At 45.8% G+C, this 23,191-nt stretch overlaps 1 protein-coding gene across 8 annotated transcripts in view, besides 1 other annotated feature; it reads right to left on the bottom strand.

Moving 5' to 3' along the window:
- RAB44 (RAB44, member RAS oncogene family) overlaps positions 1-12,729 on the bottom strand; it is a 35,359-nt gene extending 22,630 nt beyond the window's left edge. For 6 of the 8 annotated variants that reach the window (NM_001257357.2, XM_024446439.2, XM_024446437.2 and 3 more), the window contains exons 1-2: positions 12,640-12,729; positions 6,113-6,331 (exon numbers count right to left, since the gene is read on the bottom strand). In NM_001257357.2, coding sequence (NP_001244286.1) covers positions 6,113-6,319 — 207 coding nt within the window. In that variant the 5' untranslated portion in view covers positions 6,320-6,331; positions 12,640-12,729. The other 2 variants (XM_024446435.2, XM_024446436.2) reach the window with 2 other exon arrangements.
- Positions 22,699-22,778: a silencer, noted in NCBI's record as "silent region_17120". NCBI's record gives its function as "represses an Ori minimal core promoter by ATAC-STARR-seq in GM12878 lymphoblastoid cells {active_cell/tissue: GM12878}" and the evidence as "EXISTENCE:reporter gene assay evidence [ECO:0000049][PMID:35858748]".

Genomic DNA, 23,191 nt, shown 5'->3' with positions numbered 1-23,191 from the left:
AAAAAAAGTTGTACAAAAGAAAGCGGCAAAGACCCAGATATTTGTATGCCCATATTCATAGCAGCATTATTTACAATCACCAAAAGAATCAACCCAAGTGTTCACTGACAGATAAGAGGGTAGACAAAATGTGACGTATATGTACAACGGAATATCATTTGGTCTTTAAAAAGAACATTTGGACACATGCTACGATACAGATAAACCTTGAGGACATTCTGCTATGTGAAATACACCAGTAACTAAAAGACAAATACTGTATGATTCCATTTCTATGAGGTATCTAGAGTAATCAAAGTTATAGAGACAGAAAGTAGACTAGGGATAGCCAGGGGTTGGGGAGAGGGAAGTATGGGAGTTACTGTTCGATGGGTGCAGAATTTCAGTTTGGCAAGATGAAAGAAGCTTTGGAGATGGCTGGGGAAATGGTGGTACAACATCGTGAATGTACTTAATGCCACTGAATGGTACATTTAAAAATAGTTAAAATGATAAATTTTCTGTTATGCATTGCATATTTGACCACTTTTTTTAAAAGTTGTGTTAGGGATATGCAAGGCTGTAGAAAGTTGGCTTATGTGTATTTGTGAGCTTTGCTTGTCTGCTAAAATGCTTGTATAAGACAGTTCTCAATTATTTACCCTTAGTTCTTTCTGTGAAAGAGGTTAATTACACTGGTTAAAAGTGCAATTAATACAGGCTGGGCATGGTGGCTCACACCTGTAATCCCAGCACTTTGGGAGGCCTAGGCAGGTGGATCACTTGAGGTCAGGAGTTCGAGACCAGCTTGGCCAACATGGTGAAACCCTGTCTCTACTAAAAACAGAAAAAATCCTCCTGGCATGGTGGCGGGCGTCTGTAATTCCAGCTAATTGGGTGGCTGAGGCATGAGAATAGCTTGAACCCAGAAGGCGGAGGTTGCAGTGAGCTGAGATTGCGCCACTGCACTACAGCCCGGACAACAGAGCAAGACCCTGTCTCAAAACAACGGCAACAACAACAACAGTTCAATTAACTACAGATGCTTGAGGCTTTACTAGGAGCTATAGCGACAGACAAACAAAACTTTGTCTGCAAGGAAAATGGGATGCACTGTTGTGTGAAATTGTCTGGTTATTCTACAACATGAAAAAGGATAAAAAGGCAAAACTTGAATGGATATAGAATGTCGTAGAAAGTTTACTGAAAGAGAATTTTATTTGCCTTGATTTATAATGCCTGAGTCTGAAAATAAGCTATGAAATGTATTAACATTTTGCCAAATTTGGCCCAGTTTTAATGGGCTTAAAAATTGATGATAAATAGGCTTGGCACAGTGGCTCATGCCTGTAATCCCAGCACTTTGGGAGGCCGAGGCGGGTGGATCACCTGAGGTTAGGAGTTCAAGACCAGCCTGGTCAACATAGTGAAACCCGTCTCTACTAAAAATAAAAATAAAAAAAAATAGCCAGAGGTGGTGGCAGGCGCCTGTAATCCCAGCTACTCAGGAGGCTGAGGCAGGGGAATCGCTTGAACCCAGGAGGCAGAGGTTGCAGTGAGCCAAGATCACGCCATTGCACTCCAGCCTGGGCAACAAGAGTGAAACTGTCTCAAATGATAATAATAAAAATAAAAATAAATAAATAAAAATAAGTAAAAAGAAATAATAAAAACTCATGAAAATTTTATGGCCACATATTCTATTAAAGCAAAACTAGAATTTATCTTTATCTCTACTAAAATAATAAATTGGTCTTAGAGCTCTTAGCAAGGGTTAAAAAGAGGCTACTGTTTAGCTTCTGTGTAAGCCTCCCAGATAACAGAGATTCCCTATCTATCTCCCCAGAATCATTTCCTCTGCTTTGTTTTGAACTTATTATATCTTATTTTAAAAAACAAAAAGCAAAGGTATCTCCCTTATAAAAAAGCTATCTACTCTTGTAATCATATTACCTTCTTCTATGTTTATTTCAAAATATTTTATTTTATTATTACTTCGATTAAATAGATAACAAAGTAATATTTCTTGGTCTCCCATGACGTCTTAATCTAGTGCCTAAATCTTCTCTAACCGTTCTTTTGATTTTGCCTTCCCAAGATCAGATCCTAAATTTAGAAAAAAATACAATAAAAATTTTAAGATATCTTTCTCTATATGTTTTAAATACTTCAACACTATTACAAGATCATCATGGGAAGAGCAATCAAATCAGAAGAGATGTTCAGGCTTTCCTAGGCTAAATTTTCATAGGTAAAATGCTATTAATATCAATATTTCAGAAATTGCATGCTTTATGTGAAGGCCCTGGAGATTTTTCAATGATTTTGCTATTTATAATATGTTCTTTTTTTTTTTTCTTTCTTGAGACAGGTTCTCACTCTGCCTCCCAGGCTGGTGTGCAGTGGCGTGATCATGGCTCACTGCAGCCTTGACCTCCCAGGCTCAAGCAATCTTCCCACCTTAGCCTCCCAAGTAGCTGGGACTGCAGGTGCACACCACCACACCTGGCTAATTTTTTAAACCTTTTTATAGGATGGAATCTCTCCATATTGTCCAGACTGGTCTTGAATTTCTGGGCTCAAGTGATCCTCCTGCCTCAGCCTCCCAAAGTCCTGGTATTACAGGCAGTATGTTTTTATCTTCAGGGGAAAAACTGATCAAACCATTATGAAATAGTTGTGCATTGTACCCCAGGAGAGAATTCCACTGTCCTCCGTTCTGATATTATTAGGTAGTGTAATACATAACCACAGCCTTTCAGTGTCATTACTGGACATGTTTCTCCTTTCCAATGCCTGCCTGAAGCCTCTGCTATAAGCTGCAGGCCACAGACTGCATCTTCAACAAAGAAAAACACACTCAAAGTCTAGAGAAAAAGGACTGTACCAGGTTCGATGAACTATTTATGCTTCACTTGGGTGTAGGCTTCCAAGCTGACACTGGATGTCCTTTTGACTGAGCTAGTAGACTGAGGATTCCTACAACTCTTTTGAGTCCAAAAGCAGACAGCTTACCCAAGATCCGGCAGAACAATAATTGATTACATGGTGTTGATTGAACAGCCAAAGGAAATCTAGTTATGGCTCTTTGTGGGCAATATAGTTGATATTATTTTTTATTGTTCTACTTTAATAGATCTGTAAGGAAGCTCTTTCCTGGTCTTCTTGAGCTGTCTCTAACCCTCAGTTTAGTAGATTATACTTTTTTTTTTTTTTGAGACAGAGCCTCACTCTGCTGTCACCCAGGCTGGAGTGCAGTGGCTTGATCTCGGCTTACTGCAGCCTCCGCCTCCCACGTTGAAGTGATTTTCCTGCCTCAGCCTCCCAAGTAGCTAGGATTACAGACACACATTACAGCCTCCCAAGTAGCTAGGAATACAGAAAATAGCCACCACGCCTGGCTAATTTTTGTATTTTTAGTAGAGACGGGGTTTCACCATGTTGGTCAGGCTAGTCAGGAACTCCTAATCTCAGGTGATCTGCCCACCTCAGCCTCCCAAAATGCTGAGATTACAGGCGTGAGCCACCATGCCCTGCCAGATTATACTTTTGTAAACTGATATTCAACATTTCAAGTGGTATCTGAATCTCACTGACCCCCTCACAATTCAGAAACCAATAATTTTAAGCCCGGGCAACATGGAGAAACCCGCAACCCTGCCTCTATAAAAAATACAAAACATCAGCTGGGCATGGTGGCGCAGGCCTGTAGTCCCAGCTACTCAAGAGGCTGAGGCGAGAGGATCACTTGAACCCAGGAGGCGGAGGTTGCAATGAGCCAAGATCGCACCACTGCACTCCAGCCTAGGTGAAAGAGCAAGACCCTGTCTCAAAAAAAAAAAAAATTACTTTTACAGACTCTCCTTACTTTCTATGGCAATATAATTATTTGCACAGGTTCAACAGAATCTGTCCTCCTTTTTTATCAAGATATAATTGGATAAATCAATTGTGCAATCAAGGCCTTACCTGGAGTGTCTTTTTATGGGATGTCCTCATTTAATCAGGTGTGACAAGCCTACTATAAGGAATGCTCATGGAGCTACTTCCTACAAAACCCTACCAGGAAGCTGGCCTGGAACGACAGGGATTGCTTCCTGGCAGAAGAGGGACCTTAGAAAAATCAGGGACCTCAAGAAGACAGGAAGCCATTTAAATTTACAGGTGATGCAGGTGACATCTGGTGAAGAGAATATCTTGGGATTCCTTTTCTAGCCTTAGGACAGAAGTTGGGTAACCAACTCATCCTAGTTTGCCCAGGACTTTCCAATTTTAGCACTCGAAGTCCCACATCCCAGGTACCCCATTAGTCCTTGGAAAACTGGAGCAGTTGGTCACTCAATAGAACAAACTACAGATTTTTAAAAGTCCAACCAGCCTGGGCATGGCAGCTCACACCTGTAATCTCAGCAGGTGTGAAACCTGAGGTGGGGGGATTGCTTGAGGCCAGAAGTTAGACAACAGCTTGGGCAACATAGCAAGACCTCATCTTTATAAAAAATTTAAGAATCAGCCAGGCGTAGTGGCCTGTGCCTTTAGTCCTAGCTACTTGGGAGCCTGAGGTGAGAGAATCGCTTCAGCCCAGGAGCTTGAGGTTGCAGTGAGCTATGATTGCACCACTGCACTCCATCCTGGGTAACAGAGTGAGATCCTATCTCTTAAAAAAAAAAAAAATCCAACATAAATCCAAATTTCATACATAAGATTCTGTATGAAAGCGTCCAGACAGAAGCTAAAATGTCTCAATACTGTCTCTGTTTGTAGGGCAAATTCAGAGACTCACATTTAATTACATCCTTGTTGCTCCTATGGAAATAAGCCAATGTAATGACAGCAGCCTTTTATACATCAAGAAAATTTTGGAGATTATCTATGATCACAGAAAAATTATCTGGCCGGGCGCGGTGGCTCATGCCTGTAATCCCAGCACTTTGGGAGGCTGAGGCAGGTGGATCACCTGAAGTCAGGAGCTCGAGACCAGCCTGACCAACATGGTGAAACCCCGTCTCTACTAAACATACAAAAACTAGCCAGGCGTGGTAGTGGGTGCAGGTAATCCCAGCTACTTGGGAGGCTGAAGCAGGAGAATCGCTTGAACCTGGGAGGCAGAGGTTTGCAGTGAGCTGAGATCGTGCCTCTGAGATCGAGCTGAGAAGGAAGGAAGGAAGGGAGGGAGGGAGGGAGGGAGGGAGGAAATCTGAAACTTGGAACTTGGATATGAGGCAAAAAGAATGCTAGCACAACACATTGTTTACCTTTCATGAAAATCCCCAAAATTACTGAAGTTACTAGTAGAACAGATAGCCTGAAAGATTGATGGCCTGTTAGATATTAGCCATTTTAAGAATTGAACTCCGTAATTTTATCCTAATAGTTTTCTGTCAAATTGCTGGCTTCTCAAACGCTCTTTGAACCAGTCATAACATCTTACTGGTTCCCTCATTCTTCTTTTTTTTTTTTTTTTTGAGATGGAGTCACCCAGGCTGGAGTGTAGTGGTGTGATCTTGGCTCACTGCAACCTCCACTTCCTCAGGCTCAAGCAATTCTCATGCTTCAGCCTCCCAAGTAGCTGGGATTACAGGCACCTACCACCATGCCTGGCTAATTTTTGTATTTTTAGTAGAGACGGGGTTTCACCATGTTGGCCAGGCTGGTCTCGAACTCCTGACCTCAAGTGATCCGCCCGCCTCGGCCTCCCAAAGTGCTGGGATTACAGGCATGAACCACAACACCTGGCCACCCTAAGACTCTTTATGGGGACACACAACCATGGCTGATCTTATATTTCATTGAAGTTTACAGTCATTGACATGGTTTGACTTCCAGGGCTCTGACTGCTTCCCAAGATAAATGTCCTTGCTTAATGAGTCTAAAATTATACCATTTGCAAATTACTTCTTTGGCTTAAAGTACTTTCGCTGGTTAAATGACAAATGTTTCTGGAAAAGGGCAACACATAAAGCCTTACCTGTCATTTTCACATTAGTATAAACACATCCCTAGCGTTTTCTGAGAGCTCTAAATGAGAGAAAGGGGCAGGGGTAGCAAGCCCTGCCTTCCTGTGATGGGGGAGAGGGGGTGTCAGGAGCTGCGGAAAAGGGATTCAGCATTCAAATGGGGGTCTTGGGCTCACCGCCAGGTCCTCGCGGGTGACAAAGCCCCTCTCCTTGGCACCACAGTCCTGGAAGAAGGCCTGCAGTTCTGCCGCTGCCTGAGAGGACCAAGACTCTGGCTCTGGGGCCACTGCAGCGCCTTCACCATCAGCTGGCTCTCTTGTCTGCCGCCGCCGGTTGGAGCCCAGCTTCCGGACTTTTCGAGATGTTCTCTGTCCAGTCTCCATGGTGCGTTGGCCCTGGGGACAGAGGAGTGAGGGGCACCGGGCTGCTGGACAGTCACGCCCTCTCATGGCTCAAAACCCTCCCCTGGCTCCCATCACCCTTGGAAGAAAATCCACTGTGGCTGCCAAAGCCCGGCCTGATGGTGTCCCGCCGGGTCCTCTGACCTCGTCGCCCAGCCGCCTCATGGCCTCTCGTCCATTCTGCTCAACGCCTTTGCCCTTTCTAAGTTCCCTCTACCTGGAATGCCCTTCTCCAAGCTACCCACCTGCCCTCATCTCTTCAGGCTACTACTCAACTATCAAAGTCTTCTCCGACCATTAGAGAATATATCCTATTCACCGCACGCAGAATCTATCTCGTGTTTTGACCTGGAGGGTGGTTACACAGGGTTTTCCAGGATCTAGCTGTCTGAAGGGCCATAAGCAGCTTCTGAGCCATCTCTCTGATGACTCTTCTTGCTCATTAACTCATCTCAGCTGCGTCAGGGATCCCTCCACCGACACCTCCTCCCCTGTCAGCCTCACCTCTCCTCCAGCCTTTTCTCTCCAGCACCATGTCTCTAGTCCTTCGACACACGCAGCATGGAATCAGTAGCACCCCTATGCGGCTCTTAGGGCCCCACGTGACATGGCCTCAGCTTCATCCACCCCACCCCTGTGCCCTTGGGGTCCATGGCAACACCACTGAACCACTCATGGTTCCTGGAATTCCTGATTCCCTCCCACCCTGCTCCCTTTGCCCCAAACTCCTCAACTCTCTCACTCCCTTACATAGTTAATACCTTTTGCTTCCTCACCTTACAGGCTGCCTCCTCCAAGAAGCCTTCCCTGCAGTCACCCCTGCATTCAAGCTGGGCTCAGTGCCCCCTTGTCTGCAACCCTGCTATGGTTTGAATGTGTTCCCCAAAGTTCATGTGTTGGAAACTTGATCCCCAGTGAAGCAGTGTTGGGCGATGGGGCCTGATGGGAATTGTTTGGGTCATGGGGGCACCGTCCTCATGAATGGATGAATGCCATTATTGTAAAAATGAGTTCCTTGTTAAAAGATGGACTCAGACCCTCGTGCTCCCTGTCGTCCTTCTGCCTTCCACCATGGGAAGACACCACAAGAAGGCCCACGCCAGATTCTACCTCCTTAATCTTGAACTTTCTAGCCTCCAGAAGGATGAGGAAATAAATTTCTGCTCTATGTAAATTTCCCATTCTATGGTATCTGCGGTAGTACAAAACAGACTAAGGCAGGCCCCATGCTGCCCCAGCTGTGGATATCACTGTTTATCTAGGTCCATACTGCTCCCCGCCCCCTTAGCACATGTCAAGTGCTCAAGTAAGGGGTGTCAAATTCATTGTTCATTCACCTGTCACTGAATGTCTTAGTTCAGTCAATTGATAAGGATTTTGATGGTTGGGGATTCATCCAGGTGAGGCCCCTGGGGTGAGGAAAAGAGAGGCTGTGGTTTGAAAGGGATAAAGTCTGAGCCTGCTTTGCGGGAACAAGTCTGGGGCCCATAAAGCTATGGGATGAGAAGGACTTGATGTCCAGACAGACAGGGCAGCTTCCTGCAAGTGGTGGGGCTTGTGCAGGTTCTGCAGGAGGCATGTAGGATTTGGAAGCAGTAAACAGTGTGTGTGAAGGAATCGAGGCAGAATAGTAAGGCTCATGCCCAGGAGATGGAATAGATATCTCCCCTGGGCATTCTCTGTTGAGGCCGAAGGCCACAGACAGGCTGGGTGGAGTGGTTAGAGGGCTCTGCTTTAGGCCTCATGGGCTCATTCCAGGGGGTCATTCCACGGCCTCCCCTTGGGCAAGCTTCCCAAGGGGAACGGCACAGGTTGCACAGAACTGGATGAAGCAATCTCTCATCCTTAGGAGGCCCCAAACTTCAAACAGAAGTACATTCTCTCTCTCTCTCTCTCTCTCTCTCTCTCTCTCTCTCTCTCTCTCCCCCTTCGAAGTCTGTTTCAGATGAAGTTTTAAGATCATAAATGTAAAACCGCAGTGGTGAGCTGGAGTCCACTATTAGGGGCTTGTGAGGGCTGACTGTGCACACCCCTTCCTATCCCAGCAGCTTGGCATCAGCCACTGTGGGAGTATTGGCACCATGGGAATCAGCAAATGCCATGAATCAGGTCTCCTGCCCCCACCAAAGAATAGTCACCAGCACACCTCTTCTGAAGACTTTCATCTGCCCCAACCCTTCCCACCCTCTATCATGCACATAAGCAACAACCATTTACCGAGCGCCAACTGAATGCCGGTACAGTGCTAAGCAGGCCCGCTGCAATCCATATGTTTCCTTTAAGTGAATTAGGAAAAGGTACTTCCTGCTGGCAGACACAGCCCAGTGCCAGGGCTCATGGTTTGACAAGTGGAATGTGGGCTGGATTCCAGTCCCCATGCACCCCCTTGGCTGGGCATCCTTGTGCAGGACACACCTTGTACACCCCAGCAGAGTCCCTGGCCCTGCAGGTAGAGGTGTGACTAACTCCTGTTCTCCCCTAGGGGTCCTCACAGCCTCATGCAGGAGACACAAACATAATTACAGTGCAGCACAGAAGGGGCAGCATACCTGTGTGTCAGGTGCTGGGAGAGCACTGAAAAAGGAGCAACTCACTGATCAGGGTGTCAGAGAGGGCTTCCTGGGGGAGGTGACATAGCTTAGCAGTGAGCTCCAGGGCAGGAGAGATTATACTTAACCCTGATGCCCTCATAGTGCCCAACCTTGCTTAGGATATGTACTGGGCTCTCAACCCACTTCCTCTGCTGATTCATGGTCCCCTAGAATGTGGAATGTTCTAACAGACAACTGAAGAGACTCAGAAAATATCACGGCCAGACACAGTGGCTCACACCTCTAATCCTAACACTTTGGGAGGCCAACGGGGTGGATTACTTGAAGCCAGGAGTTTGAGACCAGCCTGGGCAACATGATGAAACTCCATCTCTATCAAAAACAAAAAATTAGCCAGGCATGGTGGCGTGTGCTTGAAGTTCTAGCTATTAGGGAGATTGAGGTGGGACAATCACTTGAACCCAAGAGGCAGAGGTTGCAGTGAGCCAAGATTGCACCACTGCACTCTAGCCTAGGCAACAGAGTGAGACACTGTCTCAGAAAAAAAGTCTTTCTAATAAAAAGCAGGGAGGCAAAAAAGCCAAGAATGAGGAATAAGATTCTACGGGTTAGAATAGGGAAGTCCCCATGCTAATCTAACTGGCCTTCACGCGGTATCTCTCACCCCTAATTCATCCCATGTTGCTCCATGGAAACAGTGACCACATAGATACCCCTTCTTGGGCCTAGAGGCCTTCCACACCTAGAAAGACACCATCTATCTCCATTCCCCATCCCCCCTAAGAGGGGAGCCCCCTCCCTCCATGGGCCTATGACCCTTCTTCAGTGGCTAATGGGGTTTGGCCTGGCAGTTCCAGCCTTGCAGGTTACACTCAAAGAAAGACTCCCTGTAGCATAGAAGGGGATTAATAAACAAAACAACAACAACAAAATAAGCTGGGCGTGGTGGCCTGTAATCCCAGTACTTTGGGAGGCTGAGGCGAGAGGATCACTTGAGCCCAGGAGTTCAGGACCAGCCTGGGCAACATAGCGAGACCCTGTCTCTACAAAATAAAATAAAACTAGCTGGGCATGGTGGGGTGCCTGTAGTCCTAGCTACTTGGGAGGCTGAGATGGGAGGATCACTTGAGCCCAGGAGGTCAAAACTGCAGTGAGCTATGATTCACCACTGCACTCCAGCCTGGGCGACAGAGTGAGATTCTGTCTCAAAAAAATAAAAAAGTAAAATTAAAAGAAAGACTCACTGAGCCTCAGAACTATGAGGGTCAGTCCCACTCTCGTGACCTGGAGATGCAGAAAAGGAGGCTCACAAGAGAAAGTGACTTCCAGTCCCATTGCTGTGAAGTCAGACAGACCTCTGCTTCTCCCAGCTCTGCTGCCCATGGGCTGTGCAACCTTAGGGAAGTCAATCAGCATCTCTGTGCCTGAGTTTCCTCACTGGAAACTTAGGACTAATATCTCTCCCACGGGGATGCTGCGAGGATTAAGCAAGATAATTAAAGTTGAAACATCAGTTCCCATTCCCCAGCATGGCCCACCTCCCTTTCCAGCTTCACTTTCTCTTAGCACTTGTCACCTTCCCAGAATAGAGAGCCTTTTGCTCGTTTTTGTTGTAAATTTTCCTTCTCCTCATGCTGAAATAGAGGCCTCACGTGAGTAGGGAGATGACCATTCTGTTCACTGTTCTATCCCAAGAGCCTAGAACAGCGCTTGGCACACAGTTGGTACTCTGCAAATATTTGCTGAATATATGATCCACATAAAGCCACTTAGGAGTGCGCTTGGTATCAGTGACTACCAGGTAAAGGTAGCAATGACAACAGTGGTGATGATATTGATAAAGGTGAATTCTATTTGAGGCACATAAAAGCCAGGTTCCATGCAGATACAATTGATCCCATTTGACAGATGAGGAAACTGAGGGAGGTTCCAAGAGGCAGAGTGACCTGCCCCAGCCATGATGTCAGTGGTAGAACTACACCAGACTCTGCTCTTCTGGTTGGTCATGGGATGGACTTCCCCAAGGCTACAGAGGTGGCTCTTCCCTGGGCAGAAGGCCCCTCTGGGGATGACAAACACCCAGTGGAGTAGCCCTGAGTGGGACAAGGGCTTTGGAACGGGGTGGGCGTTGACAGGCTTGGCTCCTGTGGTGACGCCCAATGTCTCATGTACTTCCGGCAATGGAGCTAACACGGCCAAGGGAGCAAGATAAGATTCCCTGTGCAGAAGCCTCCAGAAGCAAAGTCCACTGTGATGTGAGTGTCACATCGCAGCCTGCCGGGCTCCCACAGGTGTAGGATGTTAGAATCCTGGAAGAAATTCCCTGCAGCCACATCCTAGGACATGTGGCATTCCTGACTTTCCTTTCTGGGAGTTCCTAGCCAAGCTACACCTCCACAGCCCATTTCCAGCAGTCCCCTGGCATTTTTTAAGAAAATAGCACCTTCCAGACACCTCGCCTGCCCCACCTCAGCATCTGCCCTCTCTGCCAGTCAATCCTTCTCTCCCAGGAGGGGTACTCAGCCACCCGCTCCTTGCCTGACAGGTGGCCTGGGGCAGGAAGGCAGCAGGTGCCCTCCAGCCATCGCCACCTCAAAATCAGTCACTTGTCACCATCAGGTGGGATGGTGCACTCACCCCTCGTGCCTTCACATTCAGATCCCTGACAGCACCCCCACGGCCTGACAGCACAACCTAAAAACAGTCTGTGTCCCTTCTAGGCCAGGCCTGGTCCCTCAGAGACAGCAAGGACATCCTTCAGTCAATCCACAAATGTACACGTGCAAACGTGCACGCACACACACCCTCCTTGGCCATCATCCTCACCCTCCAATCCCTCACCATCAGCCTCTCAGTCAGACACAGCACCCCTCACGGCCATTCCATCATTCCATTCTGCATGTGCAAATGCCGTCGCCCAGCACACACATCCCTCCGAGTCAGCTGGCAGGGCCACCCTGCCAGCGCCCTTCTCCTCCACCACTTTCCCCTTAGTGCATCCTCATGCCTCACGTCCTTAAGAGTGGGGGACCCCTTCATGGCTAGGACACACATATAGCCCCTCAGCATGACCACCTCTCCCCACATCCCTCACCTAAGAAATCGCATAAAACTTGAAGCCAAACATGAGAGCAAATGAATCCCACTCCCAAGCACCTGCGGGAATCCACTACCACCGTGGTATTCTGTTAGGCAGCAGGCACCACAGGCTGCCCACCAGGAAGTGGAAGCCAGAGAAGAAGAGTGGGGTGGGGCAGCAGGCAGCAGCAGATTACAACCTGGCATGGGCCCTGCCTGGGGCCTCCGGGTATCCATCACTGTCTCACCAAAGGGCGCTCAGAACTGGGTCTGCTCTCCACTTGGCTGGCTTCAATAGCTGTAAATAATAGCCACAGTCGCTAAACCCCAGTGGTCCAAGTCAGTGGGCCTGAGAGACCACCTAGTGTCTTGTTCCAGTCTACTTATCCTCACTCCTCCTCTCCTAACTAACAGAGAAACTGAGGCTCTGAGAAACCAGGTGACTTGCCCTAGGTCACACAGCCATTTACGGGTAGTGATGTACCCCAGCCTCTTGCCCAAGTGCTTTCCCATCCCCTCCCTTAGACCATGCAGAGAGCTCCAAATGCAGGAGAAAAGAGGGCTCTGCCTTTTGCACCCTTGACATAGAAGTTAAACAGGGACCCCAGCTCCCTCCCCCATCCTCATCCTTCCAAAGAAAAAGAAGCATTGCAACCTTGGGATGGCTCCTACCTCTCAAAGGCTCCCAGTGGAACACACAGCCCTGGGCTCTGGGACCTGGTGGTAGGGTGACTGCTGCCCTGCGGAGCCCACGAGCTCTAGAACTGTTAACAGTCTTGTCTTGCTTAATCTCCCTTTCCGTTCCCCAGCGAGCCAATCTCCTGTGCTCATCTACAGGACTTCCTGTGGAAGCGACCACTGGCGGCCCTTTCACAATTTTGCCTGGCACCCCCAGGCATCCCTGCCCTGATTGGTGTCTTGAAGTGGAGAATGCTGGAGCTGGCAGGGAGGCCCTCCTAAGCAGAGGCTCCAAAGAGTGAGATGGACTGCTCAAGATCACCCAGCCCTTAGTGGCACAGCCAGGACTGGGCCTCAGTCTCTGGTTGCCAAGGCAATGCCTTATCCCAGACAGCAGCAGGTTGATGGGCACAGCCGTGGCTGAAGCTAAGTGTATGGGATGCCCCGGGAGAACTGCCCATCCTGCCTCACTTCAGGCCCTCACTCTCAGACAGTGTCTTTGAGCCTCAGGGGAGGCTTTATATCTAAACCACCTTTTAGGGAACAATCTAGTCTGATACCAAAATACACTGTAGAGCTACAACCATCAGAACAGTGTGGAATTGGAGCATGACTATAGACAGATGAATCAGTGGAACAGAATAATGAAATAGACTCAAATATTTGTGGGACAGGAATAGACTCAAATATTTGTGGGGATTTAGTGTATCATAAAGGCACCACTTCAAATCATTGGAGAAGAGATGGTTTATTCAATAAACTATGTTGGGAGAATGGGCTAGGTATCTGCAAAAAACAAAGAGCTCTAACTCTAAAAGCATTCCAGATGGATAAAAGACATAAGCATTTTAAAAATCAAAATCACATAATTATATGTTGTTTGGGATTTACTTCAAAATTATTGAAGAGTGTGGAGAATAGGTAGGACATAGATGAAACAAGACTGGCTCTGGACCTGTTCTGATCCCTGCTGGAGTTAATGAGGGTACTGCAGGCTCATTATGTTCTTCTGCTTTTCTGTATGTTTGAACAAATGCCATAAGAAATCATGGCATAGTTCATTTGCCATGGTTGCAGAAGAAGGAAGGAAAGAAAAGGAAGGAAGGAGGGAAGGAAGGGAGGGAGGGAGGGAGGGAGGAAGGAAGGAAGAAGGAAGAGAGAGAAAGAGAAAGAGAAAGAAGAGAGAGAAAGAAAGAGAGAGAAAGAGAAGAAAGAAAAAAGAAAGAAAGAAGAAAGAAACTAAGAAAGAAAGAAAGAAAGAGAAAGAAAGAAAGAAAGAAAGAAAGAAAGAAAGAAAGAAAGAAAGAAAGAAAGAAAGAAAGAAAAAAAGAGGAAGGAAGGAAGGAAAGATAGATCTGTCATGGGATAGGCTGGGTGTGGTGGCTCATGCCTGTAATCCCAGCACTCTGAGAGGCTGAGGCAGGAGGATCGCCTGAGCCCAGGAATTCAAGACCAGTCTGGACAACATAGTGAGACCCCGTCTCCATTAAAAAATAATAATAATAAAGAAGGAGAAGAAGAAGGAGGAGGAGGAGGAAGAAGAAGAAGAAGAAGAGAAAGAAGAAAAAAAGGAAGAAAGAGATCATGGGATAATTTTTAAATAATCTTGGATTAGGCAAGGCCTTTCCAGATATATCACAAAGCATTAGAAGCCACAAAAGAAAATATTGAGCCATTCAACCATACGGAAACTTTTTAAAAATAAATAAAACTGAATGGCAAAAAAAGGTCACCACTGATAAGTCAAAAGGCAAACTCTGAAAAAATACTTACGTATCATAGAAAATAAGTTAATTTCCTCCCTCTGTAAAGAACTCCTGCAGATCAATGAAAGACCAATAATGCATTAGAGAAATTGGCACCATATGTGAATAAACAATTCATGGAAAAATAAATATCAATGGATTTAAACATATGAAAAATATTTATAAAAGTAAACATTTCTGTTTATAAAAATATAATAAGAGAAATAAAAGATAAAACTACGTACCATCACAAAGAAGATGAGGGTAAAAATAAAAAATAAAACTACACCGAGACATCATTTTCAGCTATTCAATTAGTAAGATCCAAAAAGTGATATATTATGTCATAAAGGATGTAGGAAACACATTCACACATTATTGGCAGGAATATAAACTGGTACAACTTTTATGAAAAGAAGTGTATAATATCTGTCAACATTTAAAATGCAAAAATCTTTCTACCCAGCAATTTCACTTTCAGTCATTGATTCCACAGATGATATACAATATGACAGTATGGAAGGATACTCATTACAGTATTGTCTGTGGTAGCAAAGGATTGGAAATGATCTAAATTTCCATCAGTAGGGAGCTGGTTAAATGAGCTCTGATACATCCGAACATTGGCATACTCTGCACCGTGAAGAAAATGAGAAAGATCCAGGTGGAGTGATATGGAATGACCTTCAAGATATTGTGTCATATGAAAAAAGTAAGGTGCAGAACAGTGAGGATAGTGTGCTTTTTATGAAGAAAAAAGTGTATGTGTGTGTATGAAATATATGCAATAGATAAGGGCCGTGATATAGTTAAGTTTTATGTCCTCACCCAAATCTCATCTTGAATTATACTCCCTATGTGTCAAAGGAAGGAAGTGATTGGATTATGGGGGCAGTTTCCCCCATGCTGTTCTCGTAACAGTGAGTGAATTCTCAAGAGAGCTGATGGTTTTATAAATGGCAGTTTTTCCTGTGCTTATATACTTTCCTCCCCTGCTGCCATGTGAAGAAGGTCCTTGCTTCCCCTCACCTTCCGCCATGATTGTAAGTCTCCTGAGGCCTCCCCAGCCATATGGAACTGTGAGTCAATTAAATCTCTTTCCTTTGTAAATTACCCAGTTTCCGGTATTTCTCTATAGCAGTGTGAAAATGGACTAATACAGGCCAGGTGAGGTGGCTCACACCTGTAATCCTAGCACTTTTGGAGGCTGAGACAGGCAGATTGCTTGAGCCCAGGAGTTAAAGACCAGCCTGGGCAACAAGGTGAAACCTTGTCTCTATAAAAAATAAACAAAATTAGCCAGGCGTGGTGGCGCATGTCTGTAGTACCAGCTACTCGGGAAGCTAAGGTGGGAGGATCGCCTGAGCCCTGGAGGTCAAGGCTGCAGTGAGCCGTGATTGTACCACTGCACTCCAGCCTGGGCGGCAGAATGAGGCCCTGTCTCAAAAAAAGAAAAAAATAGATAAGCACACACATTCATATATGATTGTAAATGCATAGAACATTTCTGACAGGATATACAAGAAACTAGTCAGATTTGGGCTGGATAGAAGTGTTGGGATGGAGGAGGGGGCAGATTTATGTTTCACTGTTTACTTTTAATGTATTTTATGTTGTGTACTATCTGTATACATTACCTATTCAAAAAGAAACTTAACAATAGTATGTACATATACAAAGAGAGACTGATGAAGGAAACATGGTAAAATGTTAACATTTAGGAACAATGGTAAAGGGTATATGGGGATTATTTTACTATATTTGCAACTTCTCTGGATGTATAAGATTATTTCAAAACAAAAAGTTTTAAAAATTATTAAATTTAATTTCTAAATAAATGAATATTCTCACAACCAACTATCTGAGGAAATTGATACTCAGAGAGTTTCTGAGGCTTTATTGAACTAAATAAGGTACTCATTTATTTATTATTATTATTATTTTTGAGACAGGGCCTCACTCTGTTGCTTAGGCTGGAGTGCAATGGCACAATCATAGCTCACTACAGCCTCCCGGGCTTAAGAGATCCTTACACCTCAGCCTCCCAAGTAGCTGGGATTATAGGCATGCACCAACACACCCAGCTAATTATTGTATTTTTCGTAGAGATAGGGGTTTCACCATGTTGTCCAGGCTGGTCTGGAACTCCTGGACTCAAGTGATCCACCTGCCTCGGCCTCCCAAAGTGCTGGGATTACAGGCACTAGCCACCGCACCCGGCTTATTTATTCAACAAATGTTTATTAAGCACTTCTAGGTGCTGGACACTGTGCTACGAAATACAAAATATAGAAAATATAGAATATGAAAATGTAGAAAAATGTAGGGTAAAAAAAGCCATATGTAATATAATGCCAAACAGTGGTAATTGTTTTGAAGAAAAGCAAAGTAGACTGAAGGGCTAGAATGGTGGTGTGAGGTGTATTTTAGATGAGGTGCTCAGGGGAGGCCTGAGGAGGTGATGTTGGAAAGGACATGTGAGAAAGAAGATCTGGAAGAAGAGGTTCGAGGGGGAGGGAACGGTGAGTGCCGAGGCCCCGAGGCAGGAGCACGCTTTGTGTGCAAGAGAAACAACGAGGAGAGCTCCATGGTGGGAGCACGCGGGAGAGGGAAGGATGGGCGGAGATGGAGACAGAGGAAACAGGCAGGACCCGGAGACCATATGGGCCCATTTGGAGGGCGACATGAACCGACTTAGGTTTGAAAGGGATCCCCCCGCTGCTTTCATTCTGGAGAAGAGGCTGTACTAGGCAAAAGCAGCAGCAGGGAGACCCATGAGGAGTTAACATAATCCAGACAAGAGGCAGTGGCTTGGCCGCGGAGGGCAGTGGTGGAGGTGATGAAAGGTGGCTGGACTCGGGATATGTACTGAAAATAGGGCCAGCGGGGCTTGCTGCTCTATCTGGGCAAATGCAACAAGTCCAGGACCTTCTTTGCAGCAAAGGACTCTCTCCACTCCTCTGAGAACAGAGTGGGGTTGGATTTTTAAGGCCCAGCCCTCAGGATCTCAAGGCATCCTCAGTTTATTTGCCCCCCAACCCTCACCGGCCCTGCTCCCCACCATGGAAATAAAAGGGACATGGGGAAGGCAAGAGTGGTCACACCCTCGCGGGTGGAGCCGGAGTGCCAAGGAGTCCTGCGGGTGCTGAGAGCTCAGCCTGGCCTTGTCCTTGGCACCAGCCCCAGGGAAAAAACCTGCCAGGACACACCAAGCGCTAGGAGAAAAATTAGATCCAGGCACGTTTGGAAACGATGGAGCTAACTGAAAAATACGATGTTGCTGAACTTAAAAACACTGTGCTCGGAACTAGGTTTTGCAAAAATAGAATCAATGGACAAGGATCAAGGGCAGTGAAACTGTTTTACAATTAGGAAAGTTTTCACACTCACTAATTTTTAATTCCTTACAGATGCTTGAAAGCTCTTCACAGCTTGTTAAATCCTGAAGCAACAAACTCTCCATTCTAGGGCCCTGCAGTGTGAGCTGATGTGCAAGCTAGGACCTGAGCCTCCCTGCCTCCAGCTACTGACTCCAAAATAGCTCAAGGAGCTTAGGCAGGTGGGCAATCCCACAGAAAACCAGGGTCAGGGAGCTTGCTTCAAAGCTGCATTTGGGTAGCATTTTACATAAGATTGAGAAAACCTAAGTTACATCAAAGACTGAGGAGGTGCACAGAAAGAGGTGGGTCCCTGCAAGCCTCCTCTTAGAATTGTCACGGCAGCAGTGGCCCTGGGTGAGGCACTTCCCCTTTCTGGTGTATTGAGCAGGCAGTGTGATCTGGAGTCATCAGCGTGGACATCCTGGCCCCTCACCACTTCCTAGGGGCGTGAGCTCAGGCACTATCTGGCCCATATCTGTGTTCACCTAAACCTTTGGTAGATAGTTCCTGGCAGGCTAATGATTTCCCACCTCAAATGTCTTCATCCCTCTGGTTTTCTTCACCATTACAGGAATTTCTTCCACCCCATGAGGAGCAATCTGGACTAGGCCCTAGAGGCAGCCCTATCAGTGATGGACAGTGTCCTTAGATAAGTAGCCTAGATAGCCAGGTGAGTACTCCAGAGAGAAAATTGTAGGGTGTGTTCCACACGGTTTCCTTGAGGCTCCCTAGCAGGTTTAAGCCCCAGTTGCACACAGTGGAACTTGTTCACTGACACCTTTATTGGCCTTCTCCTTTTCTTTCTCACATTCTCTACTTTCCTGCTGTGCCTCCAGGGACTACCTCCCAGGCATTCCACCTGCACACAAGTCCTTGTCTCAAGTTGTTTGGGGAGTGGGGGTTGGGGGTGACTAAGACAGTTACCAGAAATGGCAGAAGCAGGATGGGCTTCTGAAAACAGATCCCTCACCAGTGAAGTGACAACGCGGACCCAAATGCTGGTAGTGAGTAAGGTGGTGATAACTCTTGGCAGACTACAGCATCACAGTGTCCACAATGTGTGTAGTGGATTGGGATGAGGCACAGGTAAAATTTCAGGGGCAACACTGACTTACACTGTAAGTCTAATACTTGAAAGATACAGGGCAATAGTAATGATAAGGATTATGGGGTTGGTTGGCTTTTGTTAATTGCCCTAGAAACCTTGAAGAAAACTCAGGGTATGTTGTGAAGACAGAACTCCATAACAGCATTCTAAATGACACTTATCTCTCATGGCCCAAGAGTAGGCTGTGCTGAAAATCAGGCCCAGGATCTGATTGTAAAAGGGGTGAAGCTTCAAGAGAGACTAAAGGCACAGCCTCAGCAGACCTACTACCCTAGGGTCAGAATTCTGATAGGGAAAGAATGGGGCATTAGGACCTGAATGGAGATATTTGGATAGACGCACTTGAGAAGCTTGTACCCTCAGCTTCCTTGAGCCTTCTAGGCCTGCAGAAGGGCTCCTTCCGTTACTAGAGAACAATCACCCATAACCTGAAGACCACACTAATGACTCACCTGAGGTGGATGTCTCACAAGGTGATGCTTATCTTCCTAAAGATCCTTCCCTCCTTTCCTCACTGCCTCTAGACCAGGGTCAAAAAACATTTTCTTAAAGGGCAAGAGAGTAAATATTTTAGATATGCAGGCCATGTGGTCTCTGTTGCAACTATTCGATTCTACTTTTGCACTTAAAACGACAGTGCAAAAACAACCATGGGCAACAGGTAAACAAATAAGTGTGCGTGCATTCCAATAAAACTTTCTATACAAAAACAGGCAGCTGGTGCATGGAACTATGGTTTGCCTACCCCTGCTCTAGACCAGTAATTAGGGTCAGGTCTTACCATTGCCCAAGCAGGAAAGTATATAGTCCCCATTGCTGGAGGAAATAGCTTATTCACAAAAAAAAGCTACAGGTCTGGCTGACAAATATTAGTAGGAACAGGAAAACACATATAGGAGGAGATCTTGAGGATGTGGGACTGGGGCTGGGAGGAGCTGAGGAATACAAAGCTAGATAAAGAGGGTTTTATGGAGGGACCCTTCCTTTGACTCAGAATTTAACATCCTGGCGAGACCACTGGAACTGGTCTTAACACACTGCTGAATTGGTCCTTAAGGTTTAGACACAGTGATGGCTGACAGTGAGGTGGCAATGCTGAAACAGCCTTGGAAGAGTACTAATGACGGATTAGAAGGCTCAGAGACGAGGGCCCAAAAGGCCTTCCCTTTGCAAAGCAATAAAGAAGTGCCTAGTGAAAGGAGCTCAGTGCTGGGTGTCCTCCATAGCCCAGGTTGACAGAGGAGATACTCCCATGGAATGCCATGGCCACTGTCGATGGAGACATTAAGGTTCTGGAAGAGCAGAGACCACATAGGGCCACTTAATCATCAGAGGCAAGGTGGACACAATTATAATGACAGGCAGCAAGGCCTGAATGTTAACCAGGGGTCTTTGGTCTGCAGGGCTCTGCAGCAGTGGTGTCCTTAGGGCAAGAGAGGTGAGCATTTAATGAGAGTCTTGCTTGACTTAACCACAAAAGATCAAGGTGAGTGAGCAGAGGCTGATGTCAGCTGCCGAGACAGAAAATCGCAATCTCTTACCTAGTTTCCAGCTTTGAGCCAGTTCTGACCCAGGACGCACTGATGGAAGAGAAAGATCCGTAATGCCACTATAAACATATAAAATAAACGTTTCCTTGATTCTTCCCGAAAGCACCCTCTGGCTATTTACCGGAATAGCTGTACAGTGTGGAACTGGGAATAACCAGATCATTTGAGGTCTGTTAGATAAAGGGTTTGAGCTTTCACTGCTTCTAGATGACCCAAAACACCATTATAGCCTCCTTTCAGAGAGGGGGACATAGAAGGCCAGATGGTAATAGAGTCCTAGCCAAGCTCATCTCCCAGTGAGTCTGTGGACCTACTCTATGGTTATTTCCTAGCCCTTGAGTACAAATTGGGATGCATAGCTTCACAGATAGTAGAACTCTCACATTCTGCCACATTCTCACGTTCTCTGTCATCTGTAGAATAAGAGCCATTATAGAAAGAAAGACCAAGTAGAAGTCTCTAAAATTATCCCGCTGGTCAAGGTAGTAAATCAGAAGCAATAGCATATCCCAGGTGGGTAGAAATTAGTGATTCCCTCAGAGACTTAAAGGATACTGAGGTGGTCCCTATAGTATCTCCATAGGATCCACCACATACTGCCCCTGTAAAAACCCACTGAAGCATGGTGATTGATGATTATCCACGGGGCAGCCCTAATCACAGCCATGATCAGATACCGTATCCTTACTAGAATAGTCTACACAGCCTCTGATGGTAAGAAGCCAATACTATGACAAGTGTGTTCTTTTCAATCCGTATCAGGAAAGGGGATCAAAAGTGGTTCACATCCACTTTCCCTACAACAATTTAGAGATCTATCAAATCATTAAAGTTTTAAGTGGTCAAATAAACTGGGGCATGCTGGGTCATTCCCTCTGTGGTAAAGGACAACTTAGTATATCTTGCACCTCTTACCATTTTTTTTTCTTTTTTTTAAATTATACTTTAAGTTCTAGGGTACATGAGCACAATGTGCAGGTTTGATACATAGGTATACATGTGCCATGTTGGTTTGCTGCACCCATCAACTCATCATTTACATTAGGTATTTCTCCTAATGCTATCCCTCCCCCAGGCCCCCACCCCCCTCTTACCACTTTTTAATTTGGGTTTCAGAGGCAGTGTACTAAAGATCACTCCAGCCCATTTATTGGATGATTTAGTAAGCTGCCATGTTTAAGCAGCGGCCGGAGCAAGAGAGGGCTCTGAAACAGGTGCAGGCTATGGGACAAGCACTTGGGTCACACGCCCCAGTGTATTCCCTGGTCCTGGACTTTTATCTGTGGATAAGTAGACAGTTGTGAAGTCCCTGGAAGTCCCCTCTGGCGGGGAGAGTCTCGTTTCAGAACTCTATGATTCTAGTAGAAAGCTCTGCCCTGTGCAGTAGAGAATTATTCCACATTTGAAAAGTAGTTCTGGGCCAAATTGCAGTGTTGGGAGCAAATAAATGATTATTGTTTTAAGCCACTCAGTCTTGGGGTGGTTAATTATGAATAGACAACCAGAAGATGCATGCAACAGCACCTTGTTTTTTGTAATGTTGGATAACTTTCCACTATATAAATATACCACAATTTGCATATCTATTCTGTTATGGACATTTCAGTTATTTCTAGCTTGGGTCTGTTAATAATAATGCTGCTGGAAGCATTCTTTTGGTTTTTTTCTTTTTGAGGGAGACAGACAAGGTCTCACTCTGTTGCCCAGGCTGGAGTGCAGTGGTGCAGTCAGGGCTCACTGCAGCCTCGACTTCCCAAGCTCCTCAAGTGATCCTCCCACCTCAGCCTCCCAGGTAGCTGGGACTACAGGCACGCTCCACCACGCCTGGCTATTTTTTTTTTTTTTTTTTTTGTAGAGATAAGAGTCTCGCTATGTTGCCCAAACTGGTCTCACACTCTTGGGCTCAAGCCGTCCTCCTGCCTTAGCCTCCCAAAGTGCTGGGATTATAGGTGTGAGCCACTGTGTAGAACATTCTTATGCCTTTTTCAGTGGAAATATGAACTCATTTCTCTCGAGAACATGTCCAGGAATAGAATTACTGGGTCATGAGGTAGCCATGAAGGTAGGCATCTTTAGAAGATATTACCAAACAGTTTTTTATTTATGTATTTATTTGAGATGAATCTCACTGTCACCCTGGAAGAGGCTGGAGTACAGTGGTATGATCTCAGCTGACTGCAACCTCTGCCTCCTGGGTTCAAGTGATCCTCCCACCTCAGCCTTCCAAGTAGCTGGGATTACAAGCGTGCACCACCATGCCCAGCTAATTTTTGTATTTTTAGTAGAGATTTCACCATGTTGGCCAGGCTGGTCTTGAACCCTTGGCCTCAAGTGATCTCCTGCCTCAGCCTCCCGAAGCACTGGGATTCTAGGTGTGAGCCACTGCGCCCGGCCCAAACAGTTTTTTTAAATAAGAGATCCAGTTGCTCCATAACCTTGCCAATGCTTGGCACTGTCAGTCTTTTTTAATCATTCTGGTAAGTGTATGGTGGTATCTTATTGTGGTATCTTAATTTGCATTTATCTGATGAATAATGATGTTAAGCTATAATATATTCTTTACAAAAAGATTACACAACAAACCAAAATATTGACATTGGTGATCTTTGCAGAGGTGTGACAGTAGTTTTTGTTTTGCTGTTGTTTTTTGCAGCAGTCTTTCTGTTTGCTAAGTTTTCTGCATTCTCTAAATTTAAATGCTTAATTTTTAAAATTATTTAATTATGAAATCCTTCCCAAAAGCCCATTTATTTGTTCTTATAA

Source organism: Homo sapiens, chromosome 6 (genome assembly GCF_000001405.40).
Source record: "Homo sapiens chromosome 6, GRCh38.p14 Primary Assembly".
NCBI classification, from domain to species: domain Eukaryota; kingdom Metazoa; phylum Chordata; class Mammalia; order Primates; family Hominidae; genus Homo; species Homo sapiens.
The sequence above is the reverse complement of the archived record's forward strand: the minus strand, read 5'-3'. Positions and strand labels throughout refer to the sequence as shown.